The sequence below is a fragment of the Homo sapiens genome, chromosome 8 (assembly GCF_000001405.40).
Source record: "Homo sapiens chromosome 8, GRCh38.p14 Primary Assembly".
NCBI lineage: Eukaryota > Metazoa > Chordata > Mammalia > Primates > Hominidae > Homo > Homo sapiens.
Genome location: NC_000008.11, coordinates 60,337,891 through 60,356,113, shown reverse-complemented (window position 1 = coordinate 60,356,113; position 18,223 = coordinate 60,337,891). Strand labels below are relative to the sequence as shown.

Below are 18,223 nucleotides of genomic sequence, written 5' to 3'. Positions count from 1 at the left end.
TACTGTTGAACCTCTTTAGTCCAACTCCAGAACTTGTATTTTTTTTGGTTCTTTTTTAAAGAAATAATTTTAATCTTTTTATTGATATTTTTCATTTGGTGAGATATCATTCCCACACTTTCCTTTAGTTCTTTAGACATGCTTTCCTGTAGCTCTTGAAACATATTTAAAATAGCTAATTTAAAATCTTTGTTGGCAAGTGGAACATCTGGGCTTCCTCAGGGACAAGTTGTATTGACTGCTTTTTCCCTGTGTATGAGGAATACTTCCTTGTTTCTTTCCATGTCTTATAATTTTGTTGTTGAGAACTGAACATTTTCAGTTCCACAAACTCTGGATTCTCCTCCCTCTCCAGGGTTGTTTGTTGTTGTCGTTTGTTTAGTGACCTTTCTGATCAAATTCTGAGAGTGTATTCTTTGTCATATGTGGTCATTGAAGTCTCTGCTCAGTTACCTTAGTGGTCAGCTAATGATTGAACAGAAATTTTCTTAAATGCCTGAAACGAGTAAGTCTACCAGTTTTCACCAAGGGTTTCTGTGTGTTGAAGCAAGGCTTCAGCACTCAGTCAGGCAGTTGACAGCTCTGCCTTAGCCTTCATTTCCTGCTTATGCAGAGCCTGCAGGTTAGCCAGATGTAAGGGCTTAGTTGCTTCTCAGGTCTTTCCTGAGCATATGCACAATTCTGGACATGCTCATGACCTTTTAAGTTCCCAGGAATATGTCAGAGCTTATCAAAGCCTCTATAAACACCTCTTTTCCCAGCTTTTCTTCTTTTAAAGCTTTTTAGTTGGCTCATTGTTTGTCTCAACTATTATCTACCACCTAAGGCAGCTGCAATCTTACACCAGTGCTTTTCACACTGGGTCAGCTATGAAACAGGTCGAATAAACAAGGCTTTATGAGTGGGGTCTTCCAGGGAACCACTGGACAGGTCAAATAATGACAGTTCTTTGAGAATGGGGCTTCAAAGGAGATCTAATCCTTTTCTGCCTCCTCTTGTAGCTGCCAGGCTATTGATTTTTACTGTGGTAATGTACTTTTAGTTTTCAAGGTTACTGTGGAACTGGGGAGGGAAAGATGGGAATAGAGTAAGTTAAGTCATCACAAAGCTCACTTTTCTTCATGAGATTCAGCCATTTCTTGAATAAACACTTCCTGGGTTGCTGCAGGCCTTTGATTAGTTTCTAGTGTTCTGAAAAAGTTGATTCTGATTATTTATTTATTGAGACAAGGCTGGAGTGCAGTGGCAGGATCTTGGCTCACTGCAGCCTCAAACTCCTGAGCTTAAGTGGTTCCCCTGCCTCAGCTACCCAGGTAGCTGGGGCTACAAGTGTGCGCCAGCATGCCTGGCTAATTTTTGTTTTGGGCTCAAGTGATCCTCCCAGCTTGGCCTCCCAAAGTGCTGGGATTACAGGCATGAACCACTGTACCTGGCCTTGATTCTGACAATTTTTGTGAGTTTTCTCATTGTTTTTGTGGAGGAGAAAATTTTTGGAGATCCTTACTCTGTCATTTTTGCAGATGTCACTTTGTCAGTAATATTACCTTTTTTCTTTTTGTGTAGTCTCTGTCATTGTTATTAAACAACCAGGAAGACGGATAGTAAAGTAAGCCATATCAAGAAATGATTTACTCCTTAAGAAAGAATAAAAGGAAAATTTCAAAAACAGGAACCCCTTTTATAAGATTATAATTTTGAACAAAACACCTTGTCAGATGTAGAATTGAATATGTAAGCACACATCTGTTCACACTTAACAAAAGATATTAAGTCCATACTTAACAAAAGGTATTATGATGTAGTTATTTGCATTTTGTGTCTTATATTTGTCCGATTTAAAATAGAGAATTAAAAACATAAACAAATCATTCTGTTTATTTATTTCTAATAAAACAGGTAAGAAATTGTACCAATGGTACTTCATTCACACAGGAACCATTCAGTAGTTAAAAAGTTGTAGCTGGACTCTCAATACACTCAAGGAAAATAAAATCATGTTTACCTTGATTTAAAATTAAGAGTTAAATAATTATTTATATTTGCAGTCAGAGGCTCAGAGTCTTTTATTATTACATGCAGAATATACCTTAGCTTATTTCTTGTTTCCATTCATATGATATAGCATCATATCAGCAGAATAATAATGGAAAAATGAAGCTTGCAAATCTTAAGTTTCAATGAAAAGTTGATGATTAAATAAATACGCTAACTTTCTGAACTCTTAGAAACTGGATAAGATTTCAACAGCAAATGTTTTTGAGGCTAACAGAATGTTAAATTTTAATATTTTTTAGTTTTAAAAGTACTTGTGGCCAGGCGCCGTGGTTCACGCCTGTAATCCCAGCACTTTGGGAGGCTGAGACAGGTGGATCACCTGAGGTCAGGAGTTCGAGACCAGCCTGACCAACATGGTGAAACCCTGTCTCTACTAAAAATACAAAAATTAGCCAGGCGTGGTGATAGGCGCCTATAATCCCAGCTACTTGGGAGGCTGAGGCAGGAGAATCGCTTGAACCTGGGAGGCGGAGGTTGCAGTGAGCTGAGATTGCACCATTGCACTCCAGCCTGGATGACAAGAGCAAGACATAGTTTCAAAAAAAAAAAAGTACTTGCGTGTGTGTGAGTGAGTGTGTGTGTATTAGTCTGTTTTCACACTGCTATAAAGATACTACCTGAGACTGGGTAATTTATAAACAAAAGAAGTTTAGTTGACTCACAGTTCTGCATGGGTGGGGAGGCCTCAGGAAACTTACAATCACGGTGGAAGGTGAAGGGGAAGCAGGCACCTTCTTCACAAGGTAGCAGGGGAGAGAGAGAGAGAGAAAGTGAGAAAGCACCACACTTAAAACCATTAGGTCTCATGAGAACTCTCTCACTATCTTGAGAACAGCATGGGGGAAACCACCCTCATGATCCAATTCACCTCCCACCAGGCCTCTCCCTCGAAATGAGAGGATTACAGTTTGAGATAAGATTTTGTTGGGGACAGAGAGCAAAACCATAGCAGTGTGTGTGTGTATTTTTCAGTGCTACAACAATACTGTAAGATTTGTAGGAAAGAAAAATTGACATATTTTATTGATATTCAGAAAGGTTAACTAACTTGCCCCAAATCAAATAACAGTGTGCCGGGACTGGGTGAGAGGATTAGGAGCTGGCATTTGCTAGTGCTCACTACTGCACTCATAAAGGTATATTATGCAAGTGTTCTATACAATTAGCTCCTTTCATTCTCACAATTATCTTTTGAAATAGAAATTAATATCCTCATTTTTCAGGGATGGTAGCTAAAGTTTAGAATGGATAAGTAATTTGATGCAGATTAAAAACCTAACAGGAAGAGGGCCTAGGAAAATGTAGAAGCTTAGGTCTGAGATTGCCTGACTTAAAGCACAGATCATACATATTACTCCAGACCCAGTATCTCAGGATTGGGGTATGACTGATATAGGGGTACAAACACTGACCCCTTTGCCTCAGAGGTGGGGCAGCTCTGCGTGGAACAATGCTCCTGGACACCCATCTCCACAGGGTTCAGGCTAAGTTTTGATTTGTCCTGAGACCACAGCCTTGCTCTATTCCTTCCCTTTCCTTATGCTACTTCTCTCCCAACCCTTCCAATTTCTCCGGAAGGGTACTCCTTCAATAAATCACATTCACCTATATTTTGTCTCTGATTCTTCTCCCAGGAAATCCAACCTAAGGCAGCAGGTACCAGGAATGTCCTAGATGTAGATGGTAAGAATAGGACACTGGAGTTTGTCAGCCACTGGCCGGCTGGCAATGAGGAGCCCGCCCTGGTGCAGGGAAGGTGTGGGTGCCCCTAGCATGTGGCAGCATGTGATGGCTGAGACACTCATGTATGCTGAGCTACAATGGAGTGCAGGTGGAAGGGGATGCTGCTGTGTGATAGCTCTGTCATTTGAAAAGAATGGGGGTGGGAGGAGATAGAACATACAAGGACAATGGAATCGGACAGCTGTTGCTGGGCACTGTTGATGCGTGGAAGAAAGAAAATGGCAGGCTTGGGCAGGCTAATCACAATTTAAAATGTGAGAATCAGAGAGGTTCCTTAGCAGCATCTAAAGAGACTCTGCACCCCACTCCCTTACTCGGTTCAAGTTGCTATAACAAAATTCCTTAACTGGGTGGCTTATAGACAAATTTATTTATCACAGTTCTGAAGGCTAGAAGTCCAAGATCAAGGGGCTGGTAGGTTTAGTGTCTAGTGCGGGCCCATCTCCTTGATCATAGATGGATGTCTTCTTGCTGTGTCCTCACACGGCAGAGAGAGAGAGCTCAACCATCTTGTCTGTCTTCCTTCCTTTCTTTCGTTTTTCTTTCCTTTCTTTCCTTTCTTTCTCTCTCCCTTTCTCTCTCCTTTCTTTCTTTCCTTTCTTTCTTTCTTTCTCTCTCTCTCTCTCTTTCTTTCTTTCTTTCTTTCTTTCTTTCTTTCTTTCTTTCTTTCTTTCTTTCTTTCTTTCTTTCTTTCATGGAGTCTCACTCTGTTGCCCAGGCTGGAGTGCAGTGGCACAATCTCTGCTCACTGCAATCTCCATCTCCTGGGTTCAAGCAATTCTCCTCCTACCTCAGCCTCCTGAGTATCTGGGATCACAGGCATGCACCACCACACTCAGCTAATTTTTGTATTTTTAGTAGAGACGGGGTTTCACCATGTTGGCCAGGCTGGTCTCAAACTCCTGACCTCAGGTGATCTGTCTGCCTCAGTCTCCCAAAGTGCTGGGATTACAGGCTTGAGCCACCATACCCAGTCATGTCTTTTCTTATAAGGGCACTACTATCATTCACAAGGGTTCCACCCTCATGACCTAATAGCCTAACATGGGGTGGAACATTTATTTCTTCAGAGCAGGGACCAGAATTGCTCTTAGGAGGAGAACTGTCTTTAAGTGGAAGATGAGTGATGATGTGGGAAGAGGGCATGGTTTAGTAGCAGCCAAGGAGACAAAAGAGTTAGTTAAGCCAGATGTGGTGGCACATTCCTGTATTCCCAGCTAATCAGGAGGCTTAGGCAGGAGGATCGTTTGAGCCCAGGAGTTTAAGTCCAGCCTGGGCAACATAGGGAGACAGTGTTTCTAAGAAAAAGAAAAGAGACAGAGATAGTTAACTTTTCATGAAGGAATGGACTAGATGCAGTTGGGAGTTGAGCTGGGTGCTGGGAGGAGGGAGTGAAGGAAGGAAATAGGAGGGCTGGATACATGGCCGGAGGCCAAGCCTGACTTCAGCAGTGGCTGTGGCCTATTGCATGTCCCCGGTAGTTAATGCTAAATCCTCACCAATAACATATTCTATTACACAAATATCTTGAGTGGGGCTGCATTTAGTGGAAGTTGAAGTAGAAATCTGCATCCTAGTTCTGAGATGGAACAGCCCAGAGCAACAGAGCTCAGCAGGACAATCCCTGAGCTGAGCTAATTCAGTGGCAACAGAACCTTCGAGCTTGAGCTGCTGACAACATAATGAATGATCTGGGACATTGAAGATGACTTGGGTTTGGGGGTACAAGGGGCATGAGGCAGAACTTCCATGATCTATGGTGAGGGGGTTTGAGTTCATCTCACTCTTTGGGAGTGACCAGACTGTGTGTGATCTTGATTCTATGTGTCTGGGGTTCAGAGAATGGTTTCTAGAGAAAACAATGTCTCATTGGTTCTATTTCTAGAGAATGAGTTTGGCTAAGTAGACACTTTAGTAGAATGGTGGAGATGTAAGTCAGACTGCTGGAAACTGAGGGATTTAATAAGGAAAGAAGAAAGGCAGTATATGTAGGTAATTGTGTGAAGTGTAGCAAGAAAATAAGAAAGAATCAAATACAAATGAGAAATTGACCATGGTTGAACAGATTGATTAATTTCCCATTTGTTTCCTTAAAGAAATTGAGCCAGATGATTTGAGTTGACTTTCTATAATTCTAGTAATTATTTTGTTCTATAACTTAGCATGCAGATAAATTGGCATTAAATCTACTATATGGACTCAGTATTTTGGTTCTCCCAAAATTAGTAGGTGTGAAGCCCTAACCCCTAGTGTGCTGGTTTTAGGAGGTGGGGGCCCTTGGGAGGTAATTAGGGTTAGATGAGCTCATGAGAGTGGGGCCCTCATGATGGAATTAGGGTCTTTATAAGAAGGGGAAGGGAGATCAGAGCTTGCTTTCTTTCCACCATGTGAAGATACAGCAAGAGGTGGCCATCTGCAAGCCAGGAAGTTTCCAGAAACTGAACCCTACTGTACCTTGATCTTGGACTCTCCAGTCTCCAGAACTGTGAAAAAAACAAATGTATATTGTTTTAGCCACCCAGCCTGTGGTATTTTGTTATGGCAGCCCAAGCTGAAACATGTGCCTTCCTCTTCTCTTTAGCTCAGATGCCAAGGCAAATTTTTCATGCATTTTTCCACAGCCTTGTCGGTTAAAAAGTAGATAGTGATCCTTCAGTAACATGGGAAAATGTGATGATTAGTAGCCACTTCTTAGAAATAGTGTGGTACAGTAAACAGAACCCAGGGTGCATAATCAGAAGTGTGCCTCAACACTGGCCAGCTCTTCCGAACTGCGTGGCCCTGGCAGAATCATGATCTCTATAGCCTCAGTCTATACAGCTCTTTAATGAGAGAATGAGGACACTTGCGTCTTGGATGTTTCAGAGAGTCAAGCATAGTTATTTGTATTGTAAATGGTAAGTATTAGATACATGATTCTGTAAGACTTTCTACAAACAGAAACTCACATAAGTACTATAAGTTATTTTACAGATGGACAAACGAAAGGCATGAAAGTGAATTAATTTACCTCTCAGGATTAAGTAACAACAAAAAAACTCCTAAAACCGACTCTATGGTGTTATTCACTTACTTACTTCACTTATGTGGGTATTTGCCTTGTTTGGGTTGTGATTTTTTTTTTCTTTCACTGAGTTATTCAATTTTCAAAAATAGGACTAGTGCATGAAAACAAATTAAAGCATGAAATACGTTGTTCCTTCATGATTGACTAGAACATGGTAATCAAAGGAAAATGAGAAGTAAATGAGTCAGGGAAGAGATAAGAAGAGGAAGGAAATGAAGAGTGGATTGGGAACAATGTTGTTCTTGATTTTTTTTGCAGTTCTTTCAACATGTATTGTTTTAACCTAACAAGTTTGTAAATAGAAAAAGTAGTTAGCAATAATTTTCCCAAGAAGAAACAGCAAGAAGAATGCAACTTTCAAGGTCAGTTAAGATATCAGGAGTACAAAAAGGAAAACAAATTGAGAAATCTCCAGTATCTCAGTGTAATTTGGAAATTATCATGTTCTTGATTTTCTCCTCCCGTGACAGCACATTAGTGACAAACCACATCTCTTATGTGTTCCCCACCCTCCACATTCCCTTAACATATTTAATTCTGAAATTAATTCCCCACCTCAACTCTTCCTTACATTTAATTACCAACTATTGTGGACAGTAGTAGTGGTAACTTAGTGTGTTTTATTTACCTTGGCACAAAACTCAGAGGTGAAGGACCATCCCTTACATAGCTTTTTGCTATTTTAGCCTTCTTATTATAGCATTGAAACCCTTCACCATTTCCTCTCTTTTGGGGGATAATAGAAAGCATTCTGGCTATTATATTTCATTGCCTATCTTGGTGTGGTCATACCAATAAAAAATAAATATAGTGGTTGCCAATACCTGGTCTTGGAGACAAACAGAATCTAGTAGACACTTTATAGAGTGTTGTAAATACAAAATACATTGGAATATGAAAGCTATAACTTAAATATAAATTAATACAATAAAAGGAAGCATTACATATCTTGCAAATATTGTATATTGTAGATAGATCGATGTAAAGTTTTGTGAGTAATTATCTAAATTTGGAAGCTGGGAATAAAGAGACGCAGCAAATGTCAGATTGTGTATGGTGCTTTTCTGGTACATTGTTATATTTTCTCCCCAATAGTGAAAAAGAGATGTCCAGGGCTTATTAAGTGTTCTTTGGCTTAAAAGGTAAATGGATTACAGATAATTCTCTACTGGCTAGATAAATATTTTGATTTGCATCATTGCCAAGTCTTTTCTTCCCAAGAATACAGGAAAGTTTTCTGCCTTAGGGGACAAGGACCAGTGGAAAGCTAGTCTTGCCCTGATGGACTGGAACTGGGGGCGTGGCAGAGGAGATGGAGCGGGAGGAAGCACTTCGAGAAGGTTTACAGTGGGGCCTGGAGGCGGAGCTTCTTTCTTGCACATGTGACTTGCTCAGATTCTGTTTGAGATCTAATTAGACAACAAGCCGAGTAACCAGTTCCCCCAAACCATAAGTTGAGTAACTTGCCCAAACCTCAGCCACCAACTCAAGAAGAGAGTAGCGATATCTGTTTTGTCTGTTTGTCCAGACACTCAGATAGGTAGCTCTATTTTTTTCTTTTTAGTCCCTAGTATTAAAGGTATATTAATTCACCTTTGAGATTGGGTAATGGAGAATTGAAACAGGTTGTAACATTTTTAAGTTAACTCAAGAGTCAAGGTAGCTATACTTTTATTTTTAGGAGGTACATCATATCTTGTAGGTAACAAAAATGATCATATTTTATTTCTACTTAACAAATTATTTGGTGTTTTTAATATTACTTTTCAAAGAGGACTTTGAATCAGGGAGAAGTTGTAATATTTTTCTCTCATGTCTTGGAGAATTTGCAATATAGTGAAGTTGGATGTAACGGCTAAATTCAGAGCAGTGACTGAGAATTAATAGATATAAAACATCAGCAACTGAGTATGTAAAATGGAGATCTGCCTAAAGTCTTTTACTATATACAATTATAGTTTTTTAAAAAAATTCTAGTTGCATGCACAAAAAAGCAGTCAATTCAGTTTAGAAGGGAAAGGGAAGAGCTATTCATCTGGATTTTTAAAAAATGTCCTAAGTCATAGAATTTAATCAATTCATTTAATTTTATGTCAAAAAGGAGAGAAATTCTCAGAAACAGGCTTTTAAGGCTTCCCAGAAAATAGCTGCAGTGCTATTTTCTCTCAACATTATAAACTTCCTTTGAATTCACGCCCAAATTGTTCATTGCTGGAATTCAGATATTTGGGGCTGACAGCAAAGTCTGCTTCTTTTGGTATATATTCCCTAAGCGCATTCATTTTAATCTTCAGAGAATTGTACTACAGCCTCATTTGGAATGGGAGCTATGTTTTTAAAATAAAAATTAGTGAAGAACGTAATGCTTTACATTTTGTGTATAATAAGCACTTAACACACATAGCAGGTTTCCAAATAACGTTATTTCTTTCAAAGTGGTTTCGTTATGTTGATGAGAAAAAAGAAACAAAAAACAAAAAACAAAAAACAGACTCCTGGCCAGGGCCGCTGGCTGTGTGGAGTTTGCATGCTCTTTCTCCCCTTTCTGCATGGGGTTTCTTCTCCAGCTCCTTTGGTGTCCTTCCACATCCCAAAGATGTGCAAGTTAGGTGAAATGGCTTGTCCACGTGGTCCTAGTGTAAGTGTGTGTGTGTGTGTGTGTGTGCGTGTGCCCTGTGATGGGATGATGTCATGTCCAGGTGGGCTCCCACCTTGCCTAAGAGCCACTGGGATAAGTTCTGGCCACCTGCAGACTTGAACTGGAACAAACAGTTTGGAGAATGAATGAATTAATTATGAATTATTGTCAAATAAAAATGCAGAAAGTCTACAATAATCAATACAAATATACGACAATAAATGAAGAAAGCTCTGTGGGAGTCGCCACATTTGTGATGGTTTGGTTTTGAACTGCCTGGTGGGAGGAGATGCTCCTGACAATTTTCGATTTTCAAACATTTATTTCTTGATTTAACTCATCACCACAATGACTGCTGTCACTTACAGATTCACCAGAAATTGGAAAAATTATCCTTCTTGTTTTTATTAATCTTTCTTAAATGTATGCACAGCTCCCATGGTTAATATTAGAGGTGTTTTGGGTCTTTATTTAGAAGTTTGGTGATGTTTGTGACCATGAATTTGCCACAGAAACTTAACTCTTGCTTTTTTGTTTTGAGACAGGGTCTCACTGTGTTGCCCAGTCTGGAGTGCGGTGGTGTGATCATAGCTCACTGCAGGTTCGACTTCCTGGGCTCAAGGGATCCGCCTGCCTCAGGCTGCCAACTGGTACCTGGGAATAAAGGCACACACCACCATGTCTGGCTAATTTTTTTTTTAAAATTTTTGTAGAGATGGGGGTCTCACCATGTGGCTCAGGCTGGTCTCGAACTCTTGGGCTCAGGTGATCTTCACACCTCAGCCTCCCGAAGTGTTGGGATTATAGGTGTGAGCCACTCCACTCAGCCTAACTCTTGTTTATATCAATTAGCTTATGGGAAAATTGATTTTGTTATACATTGTTTTACTTAAAGTCACCAACAATAATAATATCAAACAACAGCAGCAACAGCTATACCCCTTTACTTCCAGCTGCAGGTGGAGGGTGAGAGGTTGTAATGACTTGAGGCCTGAAGTTTCTGCCTGCTTTTTTTAAATAAGTTTACCACTTTAAACTTTGGATCTTAGCTTTAGGAAATAATGCTGAAATCTGTTGAGCAATGAGTTTCTTCCCCATCTGATTCATCTAATCTCAGAGCCATCTCATAAGGTGTGGCCTTTGGTGGACCTCAGTGGGCCCCATGTTTCCTCCATCACGCACATAGGGCTACCTTGAGCAACTGGTAGTAGAGAAGAGAAATGTCCCCTAAATGTGTCCTATTTTACATATACAAAACCCTGATTTGTATTAAAATTATCTTTTTCCTAATTTCAACACCCATTCTGTCAATAACTACTTGGGAGACAAGATAGCACACAGTTAATCATTCAAATATTTGTATCAGATAATCACAGATTTGAATTCAAATTCCCATACATAATAGTGGCCTGGAAAAGTTTATCCAAGTTTTCCGGAACCTCTGAAATGAGGATATTAATGTTTATCTCATAGGGCTGTTGGGAAAATAAAAATTTGCATATTATCTGATATATATAACCTGTGTGACGTTAGAGAAAGTTAATTTTTCTCTTTCATTCTCTATTTTCCTCCGGAAAAATGTTAAAATGATTTTGCTACAATTCTATGAACTTTTGATTTGTTGAGAAATCTTTGGGTTATTTTTTAGTTTTACTTTTCTTTATATTTTTTACTTCAGAATTTGTCTTTATTGGCCGGGCGTGGTGGCTCACGTCTGTAATCCTAGCAGTTTGGGAGGCCAAGACGGTGGATCACCTGAGGTCAGGAGTTCGAGACCAGCCTGGCTAACATGGACAAACCCCGTTTCTACCAAAAATATAAAAAATTAGCTGGGCGTGGTGGTGCATGCCTGTAATCCCAGCTACTCGGGAGGCGGAGGAAGGAGAATCGCTTGAACCCAGGAGGCAGAGGTTGCAGTGAGCTGAGATTGTGCCATTGCACTCCAGCTTGGGCAACAAGAACGAAACTCTGTCTCAAAAAAAAAAAAAAAAGACTTTGGCTTTAAGTTTTTTAAAAAAATTTTAAAACTTTTTAAACTTTTATTTTAGGTTCAGGGGTACATGTGAAAGTTTGATACATAGGTAAAGTTGTGTCCTGCAGGCTTGTTATATAGATTATTTCATCACCCATGTATTAAGCCCAGGATCCAATAGCTATCTTTTCTGCTCCTCTCCCTCTTCCCACCCTCCACCCTCAAGGAGGCCTCAGTGTCTGTTGTCTCCTTCCTTTGTGTTCATAAGTTCTCATCATTTAGCTTCCATTTATAAGTGAGAACATGCAGTATTGGTTTTCCGTTCTTGCATTAGTTTGCTAAGGATAATACCCTCCAGCTTCATTCATGTTGCCACAAAAGACATGATCTCGTTCTTTTTTATGGTTGTGTAGTATTCCATGGTGTATATATACCACATTTTCTTTATCTAATATGTCATTAATGGGCATTTAGGTTAATTCCATGTCTTTGCTATTGTGAGCAGTGCTGCAATGAATATTCACGTGCATAGGTCTTTATGGTAGAATGATTTATATTCCTCTGGGTGTATGCCCAGTAATGAGATTGCTGGATTGAATGGTAGCTCTGCTTTTAGCTCTTTGAGGAATTGCCATACTGCTTTCCACAATGGTTGAAGTAATTTACACTCCCACCAACCAGTGTATAAGTGTTCGCTTTTCTCTGCAACCTTGCCAGTATCTATTATTTTTTGACTCTTTCATGATAGTCATTCTGACTGGTGTAGGATGGTATCTCATTGTGGTTTTGATTTGCATTTCTCTAATGATTGGTGATATTGAGCTTTTTTCATATGCTTGTTGGTCACATGTATGTCTTTTTTTGAAAAGTGTCTATTCATGTGCTTTGGCCACTTTTTAATGGGGTTGTTTGTTTTTCTCTTGTAAATCTGTTTACATACTTCATAGATGCTTGATATTAGGCCTTTGTCAGATGCATAGTTTGCAAATATTTTTTTCCATTCTGTAGCTTGTCTGTTTACTCTGTTGATAGTTTATTTTGCTATGCAGAAGCTTTTAAGTTTAATTCAATTACACTTGTCAATTTTTGCTTTTGTTGCAATTTCTTTTGGTGTCTTTGTCATGAAGTCTTTGCCTGTTCCTATGTCCAGGATGTTACTGCCTAGGTTCTTTCCAGGGTTTTTATAGTTTTGGGTTTTACATTTAAGTCTTTAATTCATCTTGAGTTGATTTTTGCATATGGTGTAAGTAAGGGGTCCAGCATCAATCTTCTCCATATTGTTAGCCAGTTATCTCAGCACCTTTTATTGAATAGGGAGTCTTTTCCCCATTGCTTGCTTTTGTCAGCTTTGTAAAAGATCAGATGGTTGTAGGTGTGCAGCCTTATTTATGGCCTTTCTATTCTGCTCCATTGGTCTATCTGCCTATTTTTGTATCTGTACCATGCTGTTTTAGTTACTGTAGCCCTGTTGTATAGTTTGAAGTCAGGTGACATGATGTTTCCAGCTTTGTTCTTTTTGTATAGGATTGCCTTAGTTATTCAGGCTCTTTTTTGGTTTTATATACGTTTTAAAATAGTGTTTTCTAGTTCTGTAAATAATGTTATTGGTAGTTTGATAGGAATAGCATTGAATCTGTAAATTGTTTTGGGCAATATGGCCATGTTAATATTGATTCTTCCTATCCATGAGCATGGGGTGCTTTTCCCATTTGTTTGTGTCTTCTCTGATTTCTTTCAGCAGTTAGTTGTATTCCTAGGTATTTTATTCCTAGGTATTTTATTCCTAGGTATTTTGTCCCAGATTAGTTGTATTCCTAGGTGTTTTATTCTTTTTGTGGCAATTGTGAATATAATTGCCTTTTTGATTTGGCTCTCAGCTTAGCTGTTGTTGGTATATAGGAATGATAGTGATTTTCGTACATTGATTTTGTATCCTGAAACTTTGCTAAAGTTTATTAGCTGAGGGAGCTTTTGGGCCAAGACTGTGGAGTTTTCTAGATATAGAATCATCTCTGCAAATAGAGATAGTTTGACTTCCACTCTTCCTATTGGGATGCCCTTTATTTCTTTCTCTTGCCTGATTGCTCTGGCTAGGACTTTTAATACTCTCTTGAATAGGAATGGTGAGAGAGGTTACCCTTTTCTTGTGCCAGTTTTTTGTTTCATTTTGTTTTTTGTTTCTGAGACAGAATTTCACTCTTGTTGCCCAGGCTGGAGTGCAATGGCATGATCTCGGCTTGCTGCAACCTCCACCTCCAGGGTTCAAGTGATTCTCCTGCCTCAGCTTCCTAAGTAGCTGGGATTACAGTGCCACCATGCCCAGCTAATTTTTGTATTTTTAGTAGAGACATGCTTTTGCCATGTTGGCCAGGCTGGTCTTGAAATCCTGACCTCAGGTGATCCGCCCGCCTCAGCCTCCCAAACTTGTGCCAGTTTTTAAGGTGAATGCTTCCAGCTTTTGCCCATTCAATATAATGTTGGCTGTAGGTTTGTCATAGATGGCTCTTACTATTTAGAGACACGTTCCTTCAATACTTAGTTTATTCAGAGTTTTTAACATGAAGTGGTGTTGAATTTTATCAAAAGCCTTTTCTGCTTCTATTAAGATACTCATTAGTTTTTATCTTTATTTCTGTTTATGTGATGAATCACATTTACTGATTTGCATGTGTTGAACCAATCTTGCATCCCGGTGACGAAGCCGACTTGATTGTGGTGGATTGGCTTTTTGATGTGCTGCTGATTCAGTTTGCAAGTATTTTGTTGAGGATTTTGCATCAGTGTTCACCAAAGACATTGGCCTGAAGTTTTCTTTTTTTGTTGTTCTCTGCCAGGTTTTGGTATCAGGATGATGCTGGCCTCATAGAACTAGCTGGGGAGAAGTCCCTCCTGTTCAGTTTTTTTGGAATAGTTTCAGCAGGAATGGTACCAGCTCTTCTTTATACATCTGATTGGATTTGGCTGTGATTCCATCAGGTCTTGAGATTTTATTGGTTTCAGGGCTGTCATCTATTACTCATTCAGTTTCAGAGCTCATTATTGGTCTGTTCAGGGAATCAATTTCTTCCTGGTTCAGTCTTGGGAGAGTGTATGTGTCCAAGTATCCATCTCTTCTAGATTTTCTAGTTTGTGTGCATAGAAGTGTTCATAGTGGTTTCTGATGGTTGTTTTTTTTTTTTTTTAATTTCTATGGGATCAGTGGTAGCATTTTCTTCATCATTTCTAATTGTGTTTATTTGGATCTTCTGTCTTTTCTTTTTTATTAGTATAGCTAGTGGCCTATCTAGCTTATTAAATTTTTTTTCAGAAAATCAACTCTGTTTTGTCTGAAGTTAGGATTGCAACCCTGCTTTTTTTCTGTTTTTCATTTGCTCGGTAGATTTTCCTCCGTCCCTTTATTTTGAGTCTATGGGTGTCATTATGTGTGAGAAGGGTCTCCTGAAGACAGTATACCATTGGATTTTGCTTTTTTACCCAGGTTGCCAGTCTGTGCCTTTTAAGTGGGGCATTTAGCTCATTTACTTTCAAGATTAGTATTGATATATGTGGATTTGATCCTGTCATTTTGCTGTTAGCTATTTATGTTGGCTCGTTTGTGTGGTTCTTTTATAGTGAGACTGGTTTGTGTGTTTAAGTGTGTTTTTGTATTAGCTGGTAGTGGTCTTTCCTTTTTATATTTAATGCTTCTTTCAAGATAGCTTGTAAGGTAGGTCTGGTGGTAACAAACTCCCTCGACATTTGTATATCTGAAAAGGATCTTATTTCTCCTTTGCTTAGGAAGCTTAGTTTGGTTGGATATGAAATTCTTGGTTGAAGATTTTTTTTTTTTAAGAATGTTGAATATATGCCCCCAATCTCTTTTGGCTTGTAGGGTTTCAGCTGAGAGGTTCACTGTTAGCTTGATGGGGTTCCCTTTGTAGGTGACCTGCCCTTTCTCTTTAGCTGCCTTTAACATTCTTTCATTTTGACCTTGGAAAATCTGACAATTATGTGTTTGGGGATGATCTTCTTGTGTAGAATCTTGCAAGCATTCTCTGCATTTCCTGAATTTGACTGTTGGCCTCTCTATCAAGGTTGGGGAAGTTTTCATGGACAATATCCTGAAATATGTTTTCCAAGTTGTTTGCTTCCTCCCCCTCCCTTTCAGGCATGCCAGTGATTCTGATATTTGTCCTCTTTACATAATCCCATACTTCTTCGGTGTCTGACTGTCTTATTTCAGAGAGCCAGTCTTGAAGTTCTGAGATTCTTTCCTCAGCTTGGTTTGTTCTGCTGTTAATACTTGTGATTGCATTGTGAAATTCTTACATTGTGTTATTCAGCTCTGTCAGATCTGTTAAGTTCTTTTTTATGCTGGCTGTTTTGTCCTTCATTGGCTCCCCATTGCCCACAGAATAAAGTGCTGCCTCTCCTTTGCTTGGCAGTGAGATTCCTCATGGGCCAGTCTACAATCCTCCTTTATAACAAATGTCTCACAATTTTCTTTCATGAAGCATGGGCCAGACCAAAACAAACTCTTGTAGCTCTCTGTCGTTGCATCCAGAAATCTTGACTTTGTTCCTTTCCTGCTACATCCTTTCTGTTTACATTTTCCTTCACTGCGACTCTGGGTGCTCCACTGCTAATGCTTGTTTCAGGCCTAACTCAAATGCCACCTCCTCCCTGACATCTTTCCTAATCCAGGCCCCCATAGTCACCTTTCCTTGTGAGGTCACAGTGCATGCTCTGAGCCATGCTCATAACCTTGCTTTGTCGTGATTTAGGATTTTAGTATGAGATTCTTCAACAGGGTAAATGGAGATTTTTGTCTACATTGTGGAAGGAATATGGGAACTGAGACATTCAAAAGGAATGAAATTTGAGTTAGACAGATGTCAAATACACCTCAAGCGTGTTCTGGGAAAGAAAAACTGAAGGCCTTTACTTAGTAACCACCTTTCAGCGTTTTTTTCCTTTAGGATATCATTTTCTATATCGGGACTGGAGAACAATACCCCTTACTTTTTAAAAAGACATTTCTTTTACCCATAGAAGAGGGAAATTTTAGATAAAATAGAAGATTATGTTTTGACTCTAAAAACATCAGTAACAAAACTGCAGCATTTCTGATGAAAGAGCTCATGAGTAAGTATACAATGTGGCAAAAAAAAATCATCTTCATTCCAAGAGAGAACCATTATATGACTACAATATGGAGATCTGAAGTGCTTCAAGGCAAGGTGACCCTGTGCATTCTGAAGAACTGAAACTCCAACTGTTGCCTGGTGGACAATATGTTCCATGGAAAAGAACGAGATGTGGAAAGGATTTAGATAGGGAGCTCCACATTTGAGAGTTTGTCTTAGTCTATTTTGTGTTGCTATAACAGAATATTTGAGACTAGGAATTTCTAATAAACATAAATTTATTGGCTCACAGTTCTGGAGGCTGGGAAGTCCAAGATTGAGAGGCTAGCATCTGGGGAGGGCCTTCTTGCTGTGTCATGCCATGGTGATAATAAAATAATACTTTATAAAAATGAATTTGGTAGCCACAGGTATGATGGTTTGGGGAAGATGATGGAAGGGTGATTACAAAGTTATTGCCTTGGCTCTGGCAATAAGAATTGAGAACTTCAACTAGGACAAGGGCAATGGGAATGGAGAGATGGGGATGGACAGAATGCATGCTGTAATGTAGCCTCAGGATAAAGAAGTTGAATGAGTTTGGCATGCAGCAATGAAGAGGAAGAAGTAAAAGGTGAACCCAACGGTACAAGCCTGGGCAACTACAAGAATGGTGATCCCATCACAGAAACCAGAAATGCGGGAGGAGTGGGTTTTGGAGTTGAGACAATGAAAAGAAATGTTATAGATACTATAGATAGACTATTACTAATATTTTAGATAAGTTAAACAAACAAAAAAAGTTCAGTGAAGTTTTGAACACAAAATCCTGAAGACAAGAGGTTTCAAATGTTGTAGTGAGTTGTGAAGGATAAGTTAGAAGGAAATGCCTACCTAGCCACACTGGAAAGGAAGTTTGGTTTCCAAATCATCTCAATCCATCGGCTCAAGCAGGTAAATATTTTTGTGGAGAAATCTCTCAGGAAATTGTTTTTATAGCTGCTTATATAAACATCAAATATTTACTTTCTGGCAAGGAAATTTTATGCTAAATAAAGGGGATCCCTTGTGTTTACTATTACAACAAAGTAAAAATAAATGCCAAACAAGGTGGTTGTTAAAGTAAAAAAAAAAAAAATACACTGAAACATCCTTTACTGAATCCTGTTAATATTGAGGAAGTAGCACTATTTACTTCTGAGTAAGGGTTAATTGTCTCTGTTAGGGACTGGAGGATTGGGGAGCAGTTTTTATTGCAAAACAATTAATTTGCTCCTCATTCCCACCTACTTCCAGATCTCCCGAGGGTCTTAATTTTAATTCAACTAACTTGCTATGAAAAACACATAGGTAGCTTCATTTTAAGTGTTTTTTTAAAGTCATTTTTAAAAAGTTGTGGCAAAGAAACTGTACCTGTTTATCAGGTAATTTTAACATTAGGCTGTTTTTGTAGTCTTCCTTCTAGAGTACCCATTTACAGTATATGGTAATATTCATAGTTATATACTTAACACCTTAATAGTGGCTTCAAATATTTGGCAAAAACAGTTACTTGTTCAGTACATATTTGGTATATATGTACCACATGCTGTTAAATGTTTGACATGGATTATTTCATTAATCTCCACAGCTTGTATTATTAT

At 39.0% G+C, this 18,223-nt stretch overlaps 1 long non-coding RNA gene across 10 annotated transcripts in view; it reads left to right on the top strand.

Moving 5' to 3' along the window:
* LOC105375864 (uncharacterized) overlaps window positions 1-18,223 on the top strand; it is a 79,123-nt gene that overhangs the window by 7,974 nt on the left and 52,926 nt on the right. For 3 of the 10 annotated variants that reach the window (XR_001745925.1, XR_928937.2, XR_928936.2), the window contains exon 1: window positions 16,936-17,534. The exons of 4 other annotated variants lie outside the window; for them this stretch is intronic. This is a non-coding gene — a long non-coding RNA (uncharacterized LOC105375864). Of the gene's footprint in view, window positions 1-5,109; window positions 5,558-6,307; window positions 6,696-16,935; window positions 17,535-18,223 lie in introns of those variants that run through there. 3 more of the 10 variants (XR_928940.2, XR_928938.2, XR_928941.2) reach the window with 3 other exon arrangements.